General features: G+C 45.3%; 1 long non-coding RNA gene across 1 annotated transcript in view; it reads right to left on the bottom strand.

The window, feature by feature from the left end:
* MIR4527HG (MIR4527 host gene) overlaps positions 1–14,313 on the bottom strand; it is a 308,827-nt gene that overhangs the window by 15,174 nt on the left and 279,340 nt on the right. Inside the window, exon 2 of the long non-coding RNA NR_147192.1 lies at positions 4,646–4,781. This is a non-coding gene — a long non-coding RNA (MIR4527 host gene). The remainder of the gene's footprint in view (positions 1–4,645; positions 4,782–14,313) is intronic.

Below are 14,313 nucleotides of genomic sequence, written 5' to 3'. Positions count from 1 at the left end.
ACATGAAGAGCTGAGCCCACAACAGCAGGCCTGTCCTGCAGGTGGATGAAGTTTCTGAGTCTCATCCAGTTTGAGTTAATGCTCTAAAAGTTCTTCCTGAATCACCCAGCTCCTCCTCCTCTCCCTCCTTTGAGCTCCTGAAGCATTTACTATTTTCACCATGTTTTTGGCACTGGACAGGTTCTCCTCAATTAGACTGTAAGCTTCCTGAGGTCACACAGTGTGCTCAGAATTTCTTGAAATTTCCTGGAGAACCTTCTTTCATCAGCTTAGTCTAATTATGATGATCTGAGTGTTTCTAGTAACAGAGGTTTCACTGCTACTAAAACTCACTAATAACAGGTTTTTTTTGTTCATTTGTTTGTTTTTTGAGACAGTCTCACTCTGTCTCCCAGGCTGGAGTGCAGTGGTGTGATCACAGCTCATTGCAACCTCCGCCTCCTGCGTTCAAGCGATTCTCCTGCCTCTCCTGCCTCCTGAGTAGCTGCGATTACAGGCCGCACCACCACGCCCAGCTAATTTTTGTTGTTTTAGTAGAGTCAGGGTTTTGCATGTTAGCCAGGCTGGTCTTGAAATCCTGACCTCAAGTGATCCACCTCCCTCAGCCTCCCAAAGTGCTGGGATTACAGGCATGAGCCACCACACCTGACCTCTAATAACAGAGGTTTCTTACTCATGTGGGTGAGATGCCCATGGAATCTCAGCCATTGATCTGCACTTTGCCACTTCTGCTCACATTTCGTGGCCAGAGCAGGTCACATGGTCGACGGGGACAAGGACGTATAATCCTCCCACATAAGGCAGACTAACGGTGGGGAGGGGGGCGGCAGTAAATATTTTGAACAATAATATAACCTATCGCAGACCTAGAATATTATTTCTACAAAACTGTTACTCAGTAAATATTCAATCGGAATGATGAGACAAATATCCTAAGACACAAATATTTGAACACACTTTTCTGGTCTACGCTAACCAATGAAATGTTGGGGTACTGATTTTCATGGCTAAGTGATAAACTGAAACCAAATCAGCCCTCTGGCTGGAGTGTGGTTGAGGCAGATGAGACAGGCCCAAGGTCACCTAGGAAAATGCTGCCGTAAGGGGCTAGGACTCGGCTCACTCACTCTCCCTCTGGAAGGCAGGCTGGCATCCGAAGAGGAGCTGGGGTTCCAGGATGGAAAACTTGAGCTTAATAGATGAAGACATTTCCCAGGCTGAGAGACTCCCATATCTGCAGTACCTACTCTGGGTGAATTGAAGGCAGGGGCTGCTGTCTTTGGGGATGTTATGCAGGGGATTCCAGCAGTGAAGAGAAAATTGGTCTAGAGACCCCAGGACTGACTCTTCTAGCTTTAAAAGTCTGTCCCAAACCTCAAAGGAACCTGCGTTTCAATTGTGAGGCCAATACTCACTCTCCAGAACACGCAGGAGTAAGGAGAGATTAAACGTGTCAAAGATCCCAAATAACACGCTGTGAGGGACCAGGGAAACGGGACAGGCCACACGGCTTCCTGGGACTTAAGTGGGTCCCAAAGGCCAGGATTCATAGGAGTTACAGGTCAGATCAGAGGGCGGGAATTTGAATGTGCAAGACAAAAGCCTGGGTTAGTGCAGGGACACCTCAGGTGGTGCCCCTTCCCTTCTCTTCCCCCTCCCTCCAGTACACAGGGTCCCAGGAAGTGAAAGAAATACAATCTGCACGTGACTCAAAGGAGCTGCGGCTGCTGCCACCACCGCCTTTCAGGCACTTTCTCCAATTCAGGTTTGCATCTTATTGTCCTGCTAAGGCTTTTTTCCTTCCCTTTGCCACTCTGGCTTTTGTTGATATAACCTCAATTTCTTGCTGCCTTTCAAAGCCTTTATTCCCCAAATTGAGGGAAGGAATTTTTAATGTCACGCTAGGTCTCTAGCCAGGCCAGTTGTCTTTTTCCAAATCAGTCAGGTGCTCAGGGCAGCTAAGGTTAGAAAGAGGCTTGGCAGAGAGAGGGAGAGAATCAATAGCAAGGAGGAAAACAGCAACTGCGACTGATGAAGGTCCCCGAGGTGATTTGCAAATCTGCTGAAATCCTGAACAAGCTTTGATTTAACCCAAGCTTGAAATGGCTTTTATTTACTGTCTATTGTGGAATAAATGACATCTCATAAACAGGCTTTATCCATTACCCCAGAATGAAGAGCATGCTGTTAGGGACATTTTATCCTCTTGATATCAAAGGAGATATGCCAGGGTGTGTTATTACAAATAGAAAAATCAATGCTGAGACACACACATCTGAAATTTCATTTTCGTCCAACCACATTTTCAAAGCTAAAAAAAAAAAAAAAAAAAAAAGGCAATCGCTAATAAAAATGACTTCAGAACTGAGGATTTACCAAGCCTGAGCAAAGGACCGGCTGGGACCAAGCCCAGACAGTGAATAAATCTGGCTCTGCCATGGGGCCATTTCCTGCTCTGCCTCCCAGACAACCCAGCCTGCCCAGGGCCACCCAAAGCACAGCCTTCTCTCCCCGGTCCCCAGCCTCCTTGGTCTCCACTCTAGACCATGCGCAAACACTGTTTATGCCCTCCAGATGCCACCTCTCTAGCTGTACTCAGTCCGACCACACACTACATTTGGCAGCAGACCACATGGAACATGCCAGAAATGTCCAGAGGCCATTGCTATTTCTCCCAGGTCCCTCCTACCTGAAGGGCAGGGGCTCCTGAATCTTTCAGGTATGGTGTGAAAGTGAAAAGGCCCCCATGGAGTGAGGAGGGAAGGTTGGCCATTCTCCAAGAGGCTCAGTCCTGCCTCTCACTGACCTTAATGCCATTTCTGCCAACCACAACCCCTCTTTCCGAGATAAGTATGGGAGAGAAATACTTTTAGCTTTTCATAAAATTTTCTGAAAGCCACCATCCCAGGGCTCTATCACATTGTGTGACCTTGTGTTGGGGTGAATTTCTGGTTTAGAACCTTGTTTTTGCATGAGGCTGTAAGCTCAAGGAGTCCTGATGTTTTTCTCTATATTTCTAGTCCTGAGTACAGTGTGTGGCATAGAGTAGCTGCCTGATAAATGCTAGTTGAATCCAAGAGATGTGCAGGCTGGTTGTGGGGACAAGAATGGCTGGCTAGACACCATGGAGATGCTAGAAGCCAATCTCAGCCATCTGAAAAGGAGTACTCCAGCTCTTAGCAGCAGCTCTTGCCTTGAGGCCTGAACTATATGGAGTTTGCTGGTTTCACGCAGTCAGTCACATTTGACGCAGGAATGGCTTACTGAGTTACCTGAGGAAAATGGACCAGTAGAATTTGCTTGGTTTTAAGACCTCATACAAGAAATACTGACCTGCCTCCCTCCCGGAAAAAAAAAAAAAAAAAAAAAAGTATTGGTAAGATGGTGAATAGGAATGGACAGCTGGGCACAAACGTATGCCCACTCCTAGAGAAAGAACTTGGCATTTCAAAATAGGCAAAGCATCAGGGTTCATTTAATCTAATGCAGTCTCTTTAGAGGTGGGAAAACTGAGACCCAGAAAGGGGGGCTTGATTCATCCAAAGTCACACAGAAAACTGTGGCCATGTGTGGACCAGCGTTTGAAATCCCTGATCCCATTCCTGAGGCCTTTGCTATGCCTGAAAAGAATCCAGAGAGAGAACATAAGCACGAGGGGACCAACATAGCAATCATTGCAAAGGCAACCACAGTGTTGGTCTCTTTTATCACGGTGGTTGTTTCATTTAAATAGTCACATAATGATGAACGTGCTGAAAAGCATCCACACTGCACAAATGGTATTTTTGCTGTTTTAAAGAGGTACTGCTCTTGTTTTCTCTACAATCTTTACTTGTTTGAAGGCCACTGATCAGAACTGGGACAGGCTGACTACTGACGCATTTTGGGAAGAAAATTCCCTGAGAGGTGTGTCCCCTGCTCCCACAGAGACATGGTTATTTCTTTTTCGAGTGTTTATTTCATAAAGCTTTGAGAGAATAGCCTAAGCCAGCCAATACGATGGCAATTCTGCCCAAGATAGGCGGCAGTATTTAAATAAGGTTTCAATAGGAAGAACGGTCTCTTTGGACTCGGTCTGTGATGTAGTTATCAGGAGGGGAAATTTGTAGAACCCATTACCTGCCACTCCTTCCCCCAGGAAATCCCTTGTTTGCGGAGCATGAATCCCTCTGGCTTTGGCTGGCTTTTACTCTCTGGATTGTCCTGGGTAAACATCTGTCTCACAGTGTGTGTTTATAAAAAGAGGCATTTGTGCCTTTGATTGTTTCAAGGTTTCTGCAGCACAAGTGCGTTCTTTCTCTCCTCCTGTCTTCCCCTCCCCAGCCCACCCGCTCCTCCTGAGCAAACAACTCCCCATGTTGATTTTGGCCCTTTTGGTATCATAGTACTTTGCTTTGTCCAGAACAAGGAAAACACATACCACAACTCACCTGCTCCACCTTGGGATAGAGTTTTTCATACCGAGGGCAGTATATCTTAACTGGATTAGTATTATTATTTATCACACAAAAAATTTTCAAACACTTCCTCTAAGCAGAGCATTGAGGTAGATGTGATACACTGCACAGAGACCCAATTCCTTTCTCAAGGAGCTCACGGTCTTATTGAAGAGTCAGCTTGCAAACATTCAGCATGAGGACTCTACCTGCATAAGGACCACAGAGCTTGGGCCGGGCAGGGAATTTGTCACTGTTCTTGTTGTTAGTGAAACTGAGCCGCTCATCTTCAGTCCTGAGGTGGTTCAAACCCATCCATGAGCCAGGCCTCTCAATTGTCTGCTCCTGGAAAAGAATATGGCAAACAGTTTCCTTTTATTCTCACACCTGTCTTTGTAGGGCTTCCTTCCATGGCTGAGTCAGACCACTGGTGAGTATCATTCCAGTAGAAACTCTACAAACTAGAACTCAACAATATTCCTGATGGTTAGGAAAATATACGTATATATTTGCATCACTTCAATTTAGATCAGAAACAAATTACAAGAAAATAATGTCATCAAACACTTAGTAAGAATTTCTTTTTAAAAGAAGATGTAAACAAAGCTTGGCTCCGATGTAGTCGAAGCTCCTTCACCTCCAGTTACAGATTAGACAGTGAGCACTGCTGTCTTCAGAGAAATGGCTAGAAGCTCCATCATTAGCCAAGAAAGACGTGTGATGTCAAGCAGTAGGGACTTCCTGTCAAGGGAAGTGGACCCAGATATTTGAAAAATGTTTCTTAACAACCTGAAAGGGCTTTCTGCTTTACCTTCCACTCCTAGGAAGCTCAATCCCCAGTTCCACTCACTTATCCTGGAAAGTCTAGCGTGAAGCGTATCATGATTCAGATGATTCACACGGCTGGCAACTGAGCTCACCTTGAATTCAGTGCTTGATGGGAGACCCAGGTGCAGTCCAGGCTCTGACATACCTGGCTGGTGACTTCATATCAGTCACTCAGCCTCTCTGGCCTCCATTGTAACTGATTTCTAATGGCCTTTCCACAACTAAGGTCAATGATTCCATAAAGTAATTGGGCCATGCTAGATTGCAGCTACTTTTTTTTTTTTTTTTTTTTTTTGAGACGGAGTCTCGCTCTGTCGCCCAGGCTGGAGTGCAGTGGCGCGATCTCGACTCACTGCAAGCTCCGCCTCCCGGGTTCACGCCATTCTCCTGCCTCAGCCTCCTGTGTAGCTGGGACTACAGGCACGCGCCACCATGCCCGGCTAATTTTTGTATTTTTAGTAGAGATGGGGTTTCACCGTGTTAGCCAGGATGGTCTCGATCTCCTGACCTCGTGATCCGCCCGTCTCGGCCTCCCAAAGTGCTGGGATTACAGGCGTGAGCCACCGCGCCCGGCCTGCAGCTACTTTTTATATCTGCTTTTTCTTGGAGGTATGTGCTCATGAGAATCTCTGCTATACCCTCTGGGGCCTGGTGTCAGCTAAGTGGCTGACCTTATAGTTGTCATTTGAGGATACACTAATACCTTGCTGCAGAAATACAGCTGAGCACCTGGGAGTGGAGTGAGCTGGCCAGCAATTAAAAGACAGCTCTAGCTTTATCTGTAATGCCCTCATTACTTTATTTAATGAGAAACAAACAGGACAACTTGTTAACAATGATCAATGCTATACAACTGTACACAGGTGTTTGTTAGGAATTCTTGGTACTTTCTGAATTTTTATAATTTCTCAAAATAAAAATTATAATTTAATAAGGGCAGGGCAAATTCAGATGGCAATTGCCTCTGGTAAGGGATGGAGAGAGGTGTGGTCAGAGAGGGGAACACAGTCCTTCAAATATGTTGGGTTTTTCTGTTGCTTAAACTGGATGGTGGAAGGTGATCACTTCACTATATATTAAATTGCACTATATGTTATATATACTTCTTGTATTTATATATTTCATTATAAAACCATGTTAGAATGACAAGGTAGAAACATTGATCTTAGTTTGGTGTCTCCCCTTGAATAATGAAACGACCCATATGGTGTTCAATAGAAATATAATTTGAGCCATGTGTAATTTTAGATTTTCTTCATAGTCCCATTTTAAAAGGCAAAACAAAACAGATGAGATTTTAATACTGTATTTTATTTAACCCAATATATCCAACTTATTGTCATTTCAACATGTAATCAACATTTCAAAATTATTATTTTACTTTTTCTGCACTAAGTCTTGGAAACTCTCCATATGTATTTTACCTTTGCTGCACATCTCAATTCTGACTAGCCAGTGAACTAGGACAGGCAAACCCCTGGGTTCCAGACTCCCTTCCCTGGCAGGCCCCATGGGCTGAGAACACTGGGCTCTCTTACTGTACCACTTATGAAAGATAGCCCCAGAAAAACCTCACATTCTCCCCATCTGGGCTCTCCTTTCTACTCTGAGATGGGGACCCTAACTCACAGGGAGGAGCCACCCACCCCAACAGCAAAGAGCCAAGGAAGAAGAATGTAGAGCTGCCATTGTCTCCAAATTCCAGGCAGTGTATGCTTTCTGCAGGCAGAGAAACAGCCTTTGCTCATGGGATGCTTTGCCTTTTCCACCAAGGAAGACCCACAGGGCAGTTTGCTGTTAGAGGGATGAGGTGTTAACAGTCTGGGAGAAAATGACAAGCAATAAGAAACAGTGTTTGTGACAGAAAGAGCCAGCTCCATAAACCCCCTTGCTGGCTCTTTGGTTCAGAAGTGGCCTCATAAAACACTGGTGGACGGTGATTGATGCCCCGGGACCTGCTGGCCAACCAAGGCCCTGGGAAGCAGGGGGCCCTGGCCAGGGAGCAGAAGGTGGAGATCAAATCCCACCCAGGAAGGGGCTTGCTCCCTTGTCACGCTGACAAATCCATATCCTTGGAAGTGAAATCAAGTCCAGGAGAGGCTGGTTTCTTCTGGGCAGGGTCAGAAAAATATTCTTAATCAGATTTGAAATACATCACTCCTAGAGGAGGACTGGGACTCTTTGGACCCTGGAGAGGCACATATCTCAGGGGACTCAGGGGGACTCAGGGACTCAGGGGCAGGATCTGGACACCTCCTTCCCCCTGCTCCAGATCCTACCCTGCCCTAGCTATTTACAAGAGGTGATGTTTGTACAGGAGACTTGTGCCTTAAACCAAAACCACAGTGAAACCGGATGGCAAAAGTGCTGTTCGGGGTTTCTAAGGATGGACACTTTTCCTTTCTCCATATATATGTATGAAAGGGAACATGTGGCATATATATAGGATATATATGAATAGGATATATTTCTCCTGTTAGAAAGAAAGGTCAGGCTACATTTGCAACAAGCAAAGTTTCCCAGTCCACACAAGCATGAAGCCCTGCTTGGAGGCTGGTGGAAAAGATGTAATTTACCTTTGGGTGCTGAGGCTGGGATTCCCATTTAAAAGTCTAAGCTGGCTGATTATTTATTGATGTCTCTCTCTCCATAGCTGTCTGACTCTTACTGGTTGGAAGAAGCTCCTTTGTGCCTAAAGCATTTTTTGAATTAAGTTCTTTTCAGTCATTTCCCCTCAGGTGTTAACCAATGAGACTGTACTTTGACAAAAGTCCGCTTCCCCCCACCTCACTGCCCTCCTTATTTTATGTCGTGAAATGAAATTAAGTATCAGGAGAGAGGCCATCAAACAACTGGGCCTGATGTGGTTATTTGGCATGTATTTTTTATTTACAGAAACAGTGAGAACAATGTGCTGGAACCATTCATATTTTACAGTGTATCTGCCTCCAAATCCTACTGGGACAAAAATCCAGGCAATTTAATGAATAAACAGGGCTTGTTCTCTATGTCTCTGTCCAGTGCTCTGGCCGCTAGCCCAGAAGTGGTCCTTGAAGCTGCACGTTTTCCTCAATTCCCTGAGGTCAGGATGGTCTGGCCTCCCTACCTCAGTGGGTTCATCTGTGAAATGGAATGAGAGTGAAATGGAATGACACTCACCACAGAGCAGGGAACCGAGGTCTCTTCCGGTGGTAACAGTCATGGTTCCATGAGCTGAAACCTTCTTTTCAAAGAAAGTTTTCCCTTCTGGGAAGAGGGTACCCGGATCCTGACCCCAAGCCCAGATATGTGCCTCCCCAGGGTCCAAAGAATCCCAGTCCTCCTCTAGGAGTGATGTATTTCAAATCTGATTAAGAATATTTTTCAAAGATTTTCCTACAAGTAACCTCATCCAGAGCAGCCCAGTTGACTATTTTGGCAAGAACCACCCTCTCCTTCACATCTACCCTCACTTCTACCCAACCCCACCTAGGGAGAAACGGCTGCCAAATGCATCTTCTGGAAGTGAGAGACTGATGAATGGGGAGCGCTTGGAAAGGCTGGCTGAGCAGAACCGGGAGCCAGCAAGGACCTTCCTTGAGGGTCTTGGCGCCTCCTGAACTGAAGGCTGGCATGGAAGCCTAGCTGGAACAGCACTGAGAGGCAACCCCACAGAGTATACCCCAGCCAGGGGATCTGCTCCAGCCAGGCCACCCCAGGCAAGTTTGCGCAAGACTTATTACCGAGGATGGATTTAGGGTGACAGTGGAGAGGTGTCTGTTGCTGATAAGCATGACTTGATAGCATATTCTCACCCAGCCAGTCCTGTCCTGGACCCTTTTGTAGGTCTTGGAGTCTGGCAAAATGGGTTCAAATCCCAGCCCCTTGGGATGCTATTTAACCCCTCTGAGCCTTAGTTTCCTCATCTGAAAAATGGGATAATATTACTTACTCAAGCAGTTGTGAAGATTAAAAAGATAACATATGTGGAAAGCCAATGTCTGGTACACAGTAGGAGCCAGTATGACCTTTTTAGTTTAATAAAACAGGCCCTGCACTTAAAAAGCTGTTGGAGCTAAATCACATTCTCAGAAAAATTAATAACAGAAGCATGTGATTCAAAGTCACCCAAGGAAGTGTTTCGTGTAAGTTTTTGAAACTGAGTCGCACTGAGTCGTTCCTGTCTTAGCATGGCCACCCTCCAGATTCCCTGGGACCTTCCCTAATTTTAGCACATGGTCACCCTAGCCCCACACTCACAGGATGCTTTGCCCTCTGCCATCAGCCTGGCACACTGCCATATCCCAGGCCTCATCTCCCTGGCTTCCTCCACTTCCCCTGCCTCTCTTCTACCCAGCTCCCACCATTCAGATGGGTCATTCTGGATCAATAGTGTACATGCTAGGACCTATCCTTCTGGCAGTGAGGAGGGTTGATCCTATATCACCCCATTCTCTGGTAGGACTGTCTCCCCAGACAAGCAGAGATAGGCTTCTGTGGCAGAATTTCTGTATGGAGAGGCCTAAAAGTCACTGACCAGGAGACACTACTTTTCATTCAGTTGTGCTGGAGAAACAGAGGCAACCCTCACAGAACTTTCTGTCTAGCACAGGAGACAGATGCTGTCAACAATCACACACAAATCACATAGCTACGGCCCATGACAAGAGCTGCGAGGGGTGGGCACACTGTGGAACGGGTGTAAATGGCACCCTGCACTGGGGAGGGAAGCACAATGACTTCCCTCCCTAGTATGTGCCAGTGGCTGGGTGTTGATGGGGGCTGGAAGAGATCACAGGGAGGACTCACAACAGCTGAAGGAGGAGAAGGACTGGGAATTTCAGGGAGAGGATTTTAAAATCCAGTTTCTGGACTGGCCAATCTTTTTCTGGACTTTGGAGTAAAACCAACAAAAAAAAAATTGTTAAAACCTGAAACTAGTTCAAATCCCAAAACCCCAGGCAAGCTCCTTCACTTCTCTGTGCCCTTATCTTCTCATTTGAAAAATGGAGACACAGCTGACTGGTCATCTCCTGCCCTACTTTCTCTAATGGCCAAACAGCCTGACTCTAGGACACAGCTGGCCATGGCTAGAGCCTGGAAGGTCCAGGAACAGAGGTACTATGGCCTCAGAGCCCTGGGACTGTCTGCTAAGCCTGAGCCTGGAGGCTACATTCTCTCAGGGATCTATCCTCACATGTACAGCCCTTTCCCATCCAGGGTGTTTTCTTACCTCTCTCTCTCTCTCTCTCTCTCTGTGTGTGTGTGTGTGTCTGTGTATGTGTATGTGTGTCTAGGATATTTGCCAAAGTTACCGAGGTCAGTGCTTCTGGTAAAAAGGGTAGAATCAACTCCAACCGGGGATGGTGTTATGACCATTTTTGTGGGCAGGGAAGATAAAATATAATACCCGCTATTTGTAGAGCACTTTCAGTTGCTCTTTAAGGCAAACATCTTTTCCTTAGAATCCTCTGAAAAGTCCTCTATGATTTCCTCTTGCTGAAGCAATTTGTCCCTTCTTGGAACACTCTCCACGCTGCAGTGCATGCTGCTCTTAGGACACTTAACATGTTCTCCCTTGTGTTATGACTGTTTGTGCTCTTGTCCAACTAGACTTGCAGATCAAGCAATATTATTCCTTTTATATCCCTGCATAATCCCTAAAATTGGGTTAGAACATCCTAAGAATCAAATAAATGCTTGTTGGATGAATGAATGATGTGTGCTGGAATGAATGCACAACATAAATGCAAGAGGCTTTTCCCAGAGCCCTTTAACCCACTCTACTTAGCCCAGAACTCGTTTCACTACACAGACTTTTGACCCTAACCTCTCTCCCATCCCCTCTCTGCTTCCCAATCCTAACAGGTCCCTAGTCTTCACATCTTATTTGGCTGCTTCTATGGTTGAACAATAGTGATATTGTTATTGAAATAGCTTAGATGAGCCCAGTCACCTTGTATCAGTGACAATATTAATAGTGACAGGTTCCAGGGCCCACCTTATGTGCTGGATATGGCCATTTGGTTGCCAAAATGGAAGGTTAATAGGTAGACACCCACCCAGTTTGACCCTGTTACTGACACTACACACATCCTGAATCTCTTTAAGCCCCGTGAGATTAGTGCCTCCACTGAAAGGCTGAGGGATGTGTAGCTACACTTAGAAAAATACAACCAATAATTGAATTGGTGGCTCCACTGGAATATTAAGCAATGATTGTAACAATGCGTACTCAAAAGCAGCCATCTACATCCACTGAGACACTAGGACACATATTTTGTGCACTCCCAGAGAGTTGGATCAGCTGAGGAAGTCTCCTGCCCACCAATGAGGATGTTGAACACAGGAATCCACTGTGCCCTGGGTTCTAGGAAGGGAGAAAGACAGAAAATGCTCTGGGCTGACAATTCTTTATGCCCTTCACCCACAGTTGAAGTCTATGGACAATCAGGAGAATCAACTGAAGCCAGAGGTTCATTCCCCCAGAGGCTCTCAAGCCTTGTTCGTCCACAGCCTAGGACTCCCTGCTGCTCCACAGCCCCATGCACGTAAATCTTACAAACAAGTTGCTGTTCACAGTGAAGATGGGCTGAGAATGAGGATGGTTCACGAAAATGCAGCTTCACCATTGATAAATTCAACTGAAATTAATATACCCAGCAAAGTACCACTGTCTCTGGTGGGGATGAGGGGCACAGGGTGGTGGTAGTACAGAATTAGGCACACCAGTCTCTGTCTGCAGGAGGCTCACATTCAGGGGAAATGCAACCAAACATGAGACATGTTTTCCTGTTGGTAGGTCACAAGCATCATAGCTATATAGGACAGCAGAGCCGAAATCCTCCAGTCACCTTAAAGAATCAAAGTGTCTGTGCGTGCCGTGAACCTAGCAATAGAGGGCTCCTGGGACCACATGGTTCACAGGAAACAGCCTGGACTTTGGAGACAGACCCACCTGGTTTCAAATAGCAGCCTCACCACTGACTACGGAATATCCTTGGTCAGATTGCTTACTCTAAGTCTGTGTTCTCCCATCTATTAAACAGGGCTAAAAATGCCTTCTTTGATTTAATAACATAATAATTTAATAACAATTTATATATTAAAAATTTAAATATATAATTTAAATATATTATAAAATATAATAATAATTTATATTATATTATTATGTTACACAGAGAACTGAGCCTCTGTGTAAGAAGTTCCACTGCTCTGAGGCTGCCACATTGTAAGGAAGCCCAAATAATAAATAAACATCAAATAATGAACATCAAATGCCTAGTAAAGTAACTGACATTTAGATGATACTCAGTGAATCTCTTTACTGCTTAAGGTTCTCTTATTCACCTTCATATCCTCTGTATCTATAACTGGGCTCGGCAATATTGCATGCGTGGATGGATGGATGGATGGATGGATGGGTTGATGGGTGGCTAGATGGACAGATAGACAGATGGATTTCCACTATTGGGACACTTTTTTGCATCCCTATTTTACAATTAGGAAGCAAAAAGAGGTCAAACACTCTTGTAAGGTGCTGGTGTCCTTATTGTCTCAGGAACTTGTCACCTCATCCCAGTCTCTGTCTTCCTGTAGGTCAGTCTGTGTTACCCAGAAGTTCTGCCTCTTTCCCTCCTGTCTATCCTAAATCCTTCAAGATTCGATTCAAGTCCCACTTCCTCTGCAAAGCCTCCTCTGACCAGATAAGCTTACTCTCCTCTCTCCTTTTCCTGAACTTGCCAATAGTGAATCTCTGTCACATCATTTGACTTTTGGTTGATAACTATGTTATGTATGCATCTTATTTCCCCAGTCTGATAACAGAGAATGGGTTCTAGGCTTCCCTTACACCCCCAAGCATGAAGCTGGGCACATATGCCTACCATGCAAAGAATGCAGAAAATACTTTTTACTCCTAATGACAAACATTAGTTGCTAATGTTACTTCTAATAATAAAAGTTGAGATTTATTGAGTGGTGCCAGGCACTGCACTGAGCACTTGAAATACCTTATCTCATGTAAGCCTTATAATAACCTTAGAAGATAGGCATGATTATCTCCACTTTACAGATAAGAAAACTGAGTTTGAGAGGAGTTGCAATGCTTTTAAAACATAGACCCTAAATTCTTTAATGCTCCTCTCATTGACAGGTGGGGCTCTACATCCTCTCCCTTCGAATCTGGGTGGGCTTCTGACTGCATCTACTAATAGAGTATGGCAAAAAGTGATGCTCTGTGACTTCTGAGGCTGGGCTATAAAAGACCAGGCAACTTCTACTTTGTTCACTGGAACCCAAGGGCTTGGAGAACTGAGCCTCTGTGTAAGAAGTTCCACTGCTCTGAGGCTGCCATGTTGTAAGGAAGCCCAAGCCCCATGGAGAAGCCACAGACAGATGCTCTAGTCACAGATCATAGTCTTTGAGTCATTCTAGTCCAGGAGCCAGACATGTGAGTGAAAGAGCTTAGATGATTCCAGCCCCAGTCTTTGAGATATTCCCAGGTTTCAAGTCTTCCCAGTGAGGCCTCAGATGTATGGAGTAGACACAAACCATACCTACCACAACCTGTTCAAATTCCTAACTTGCAAAATTCATGAGTACAATACAGTAGTTATTTCAAGCTGCTAAATTTTGAGGTGATTTGCTATGCATCAATAATAACTAGAAGTTCATTTGACTTGCCCAAGGTTACCCAGCTAGTAAGTGGCAAAGGTGGGATTCAAGCTCATGTGGTCTGACTTCAGAGCTCATGTTCTGGAACTGCATAACAAGCCTCCCAATACATCCTTGAGTTAAGCTGGCATGCAGTGCCCCATGTGGCTGATCTCAGATTCTGGAAAGTGGAAGATGGCCCTGAAGAAATAAAGCTGGGGCAGGGGCCCCGGTGGGTCTCTGGAGAAGAAGAAGGTGGCATGTAGCAGGTGTGACATGAGGCTTTGCCTCAAATACAAGATTTTGTAAGTCCTGGGCATCAAAAGGCAACAAGAGGGCACCTGATTGGGAAAGAAAGTAAAAGCATCAATGCAGTATGTGCATGAGGTACGGGCATGGAGTGGAGAATGGTAAC

This window comes from Homo sapiens, chromosome 18 (genome assembly GCF_000001405.40).
Source record: "Homo sapiens chromosome 18, GRCh38.p14 Primary Assembly".
NCBI lineage: Eukaryota > Metazoa > Chordata > Mammalia > Primates > Hominidae > Homo > Homo sapiens.
The sequence above is the reverse complement of the archived record's forward strand: the minus strand, read 5'-3'. Positions and strand labels throughout refer to the sequence as shown.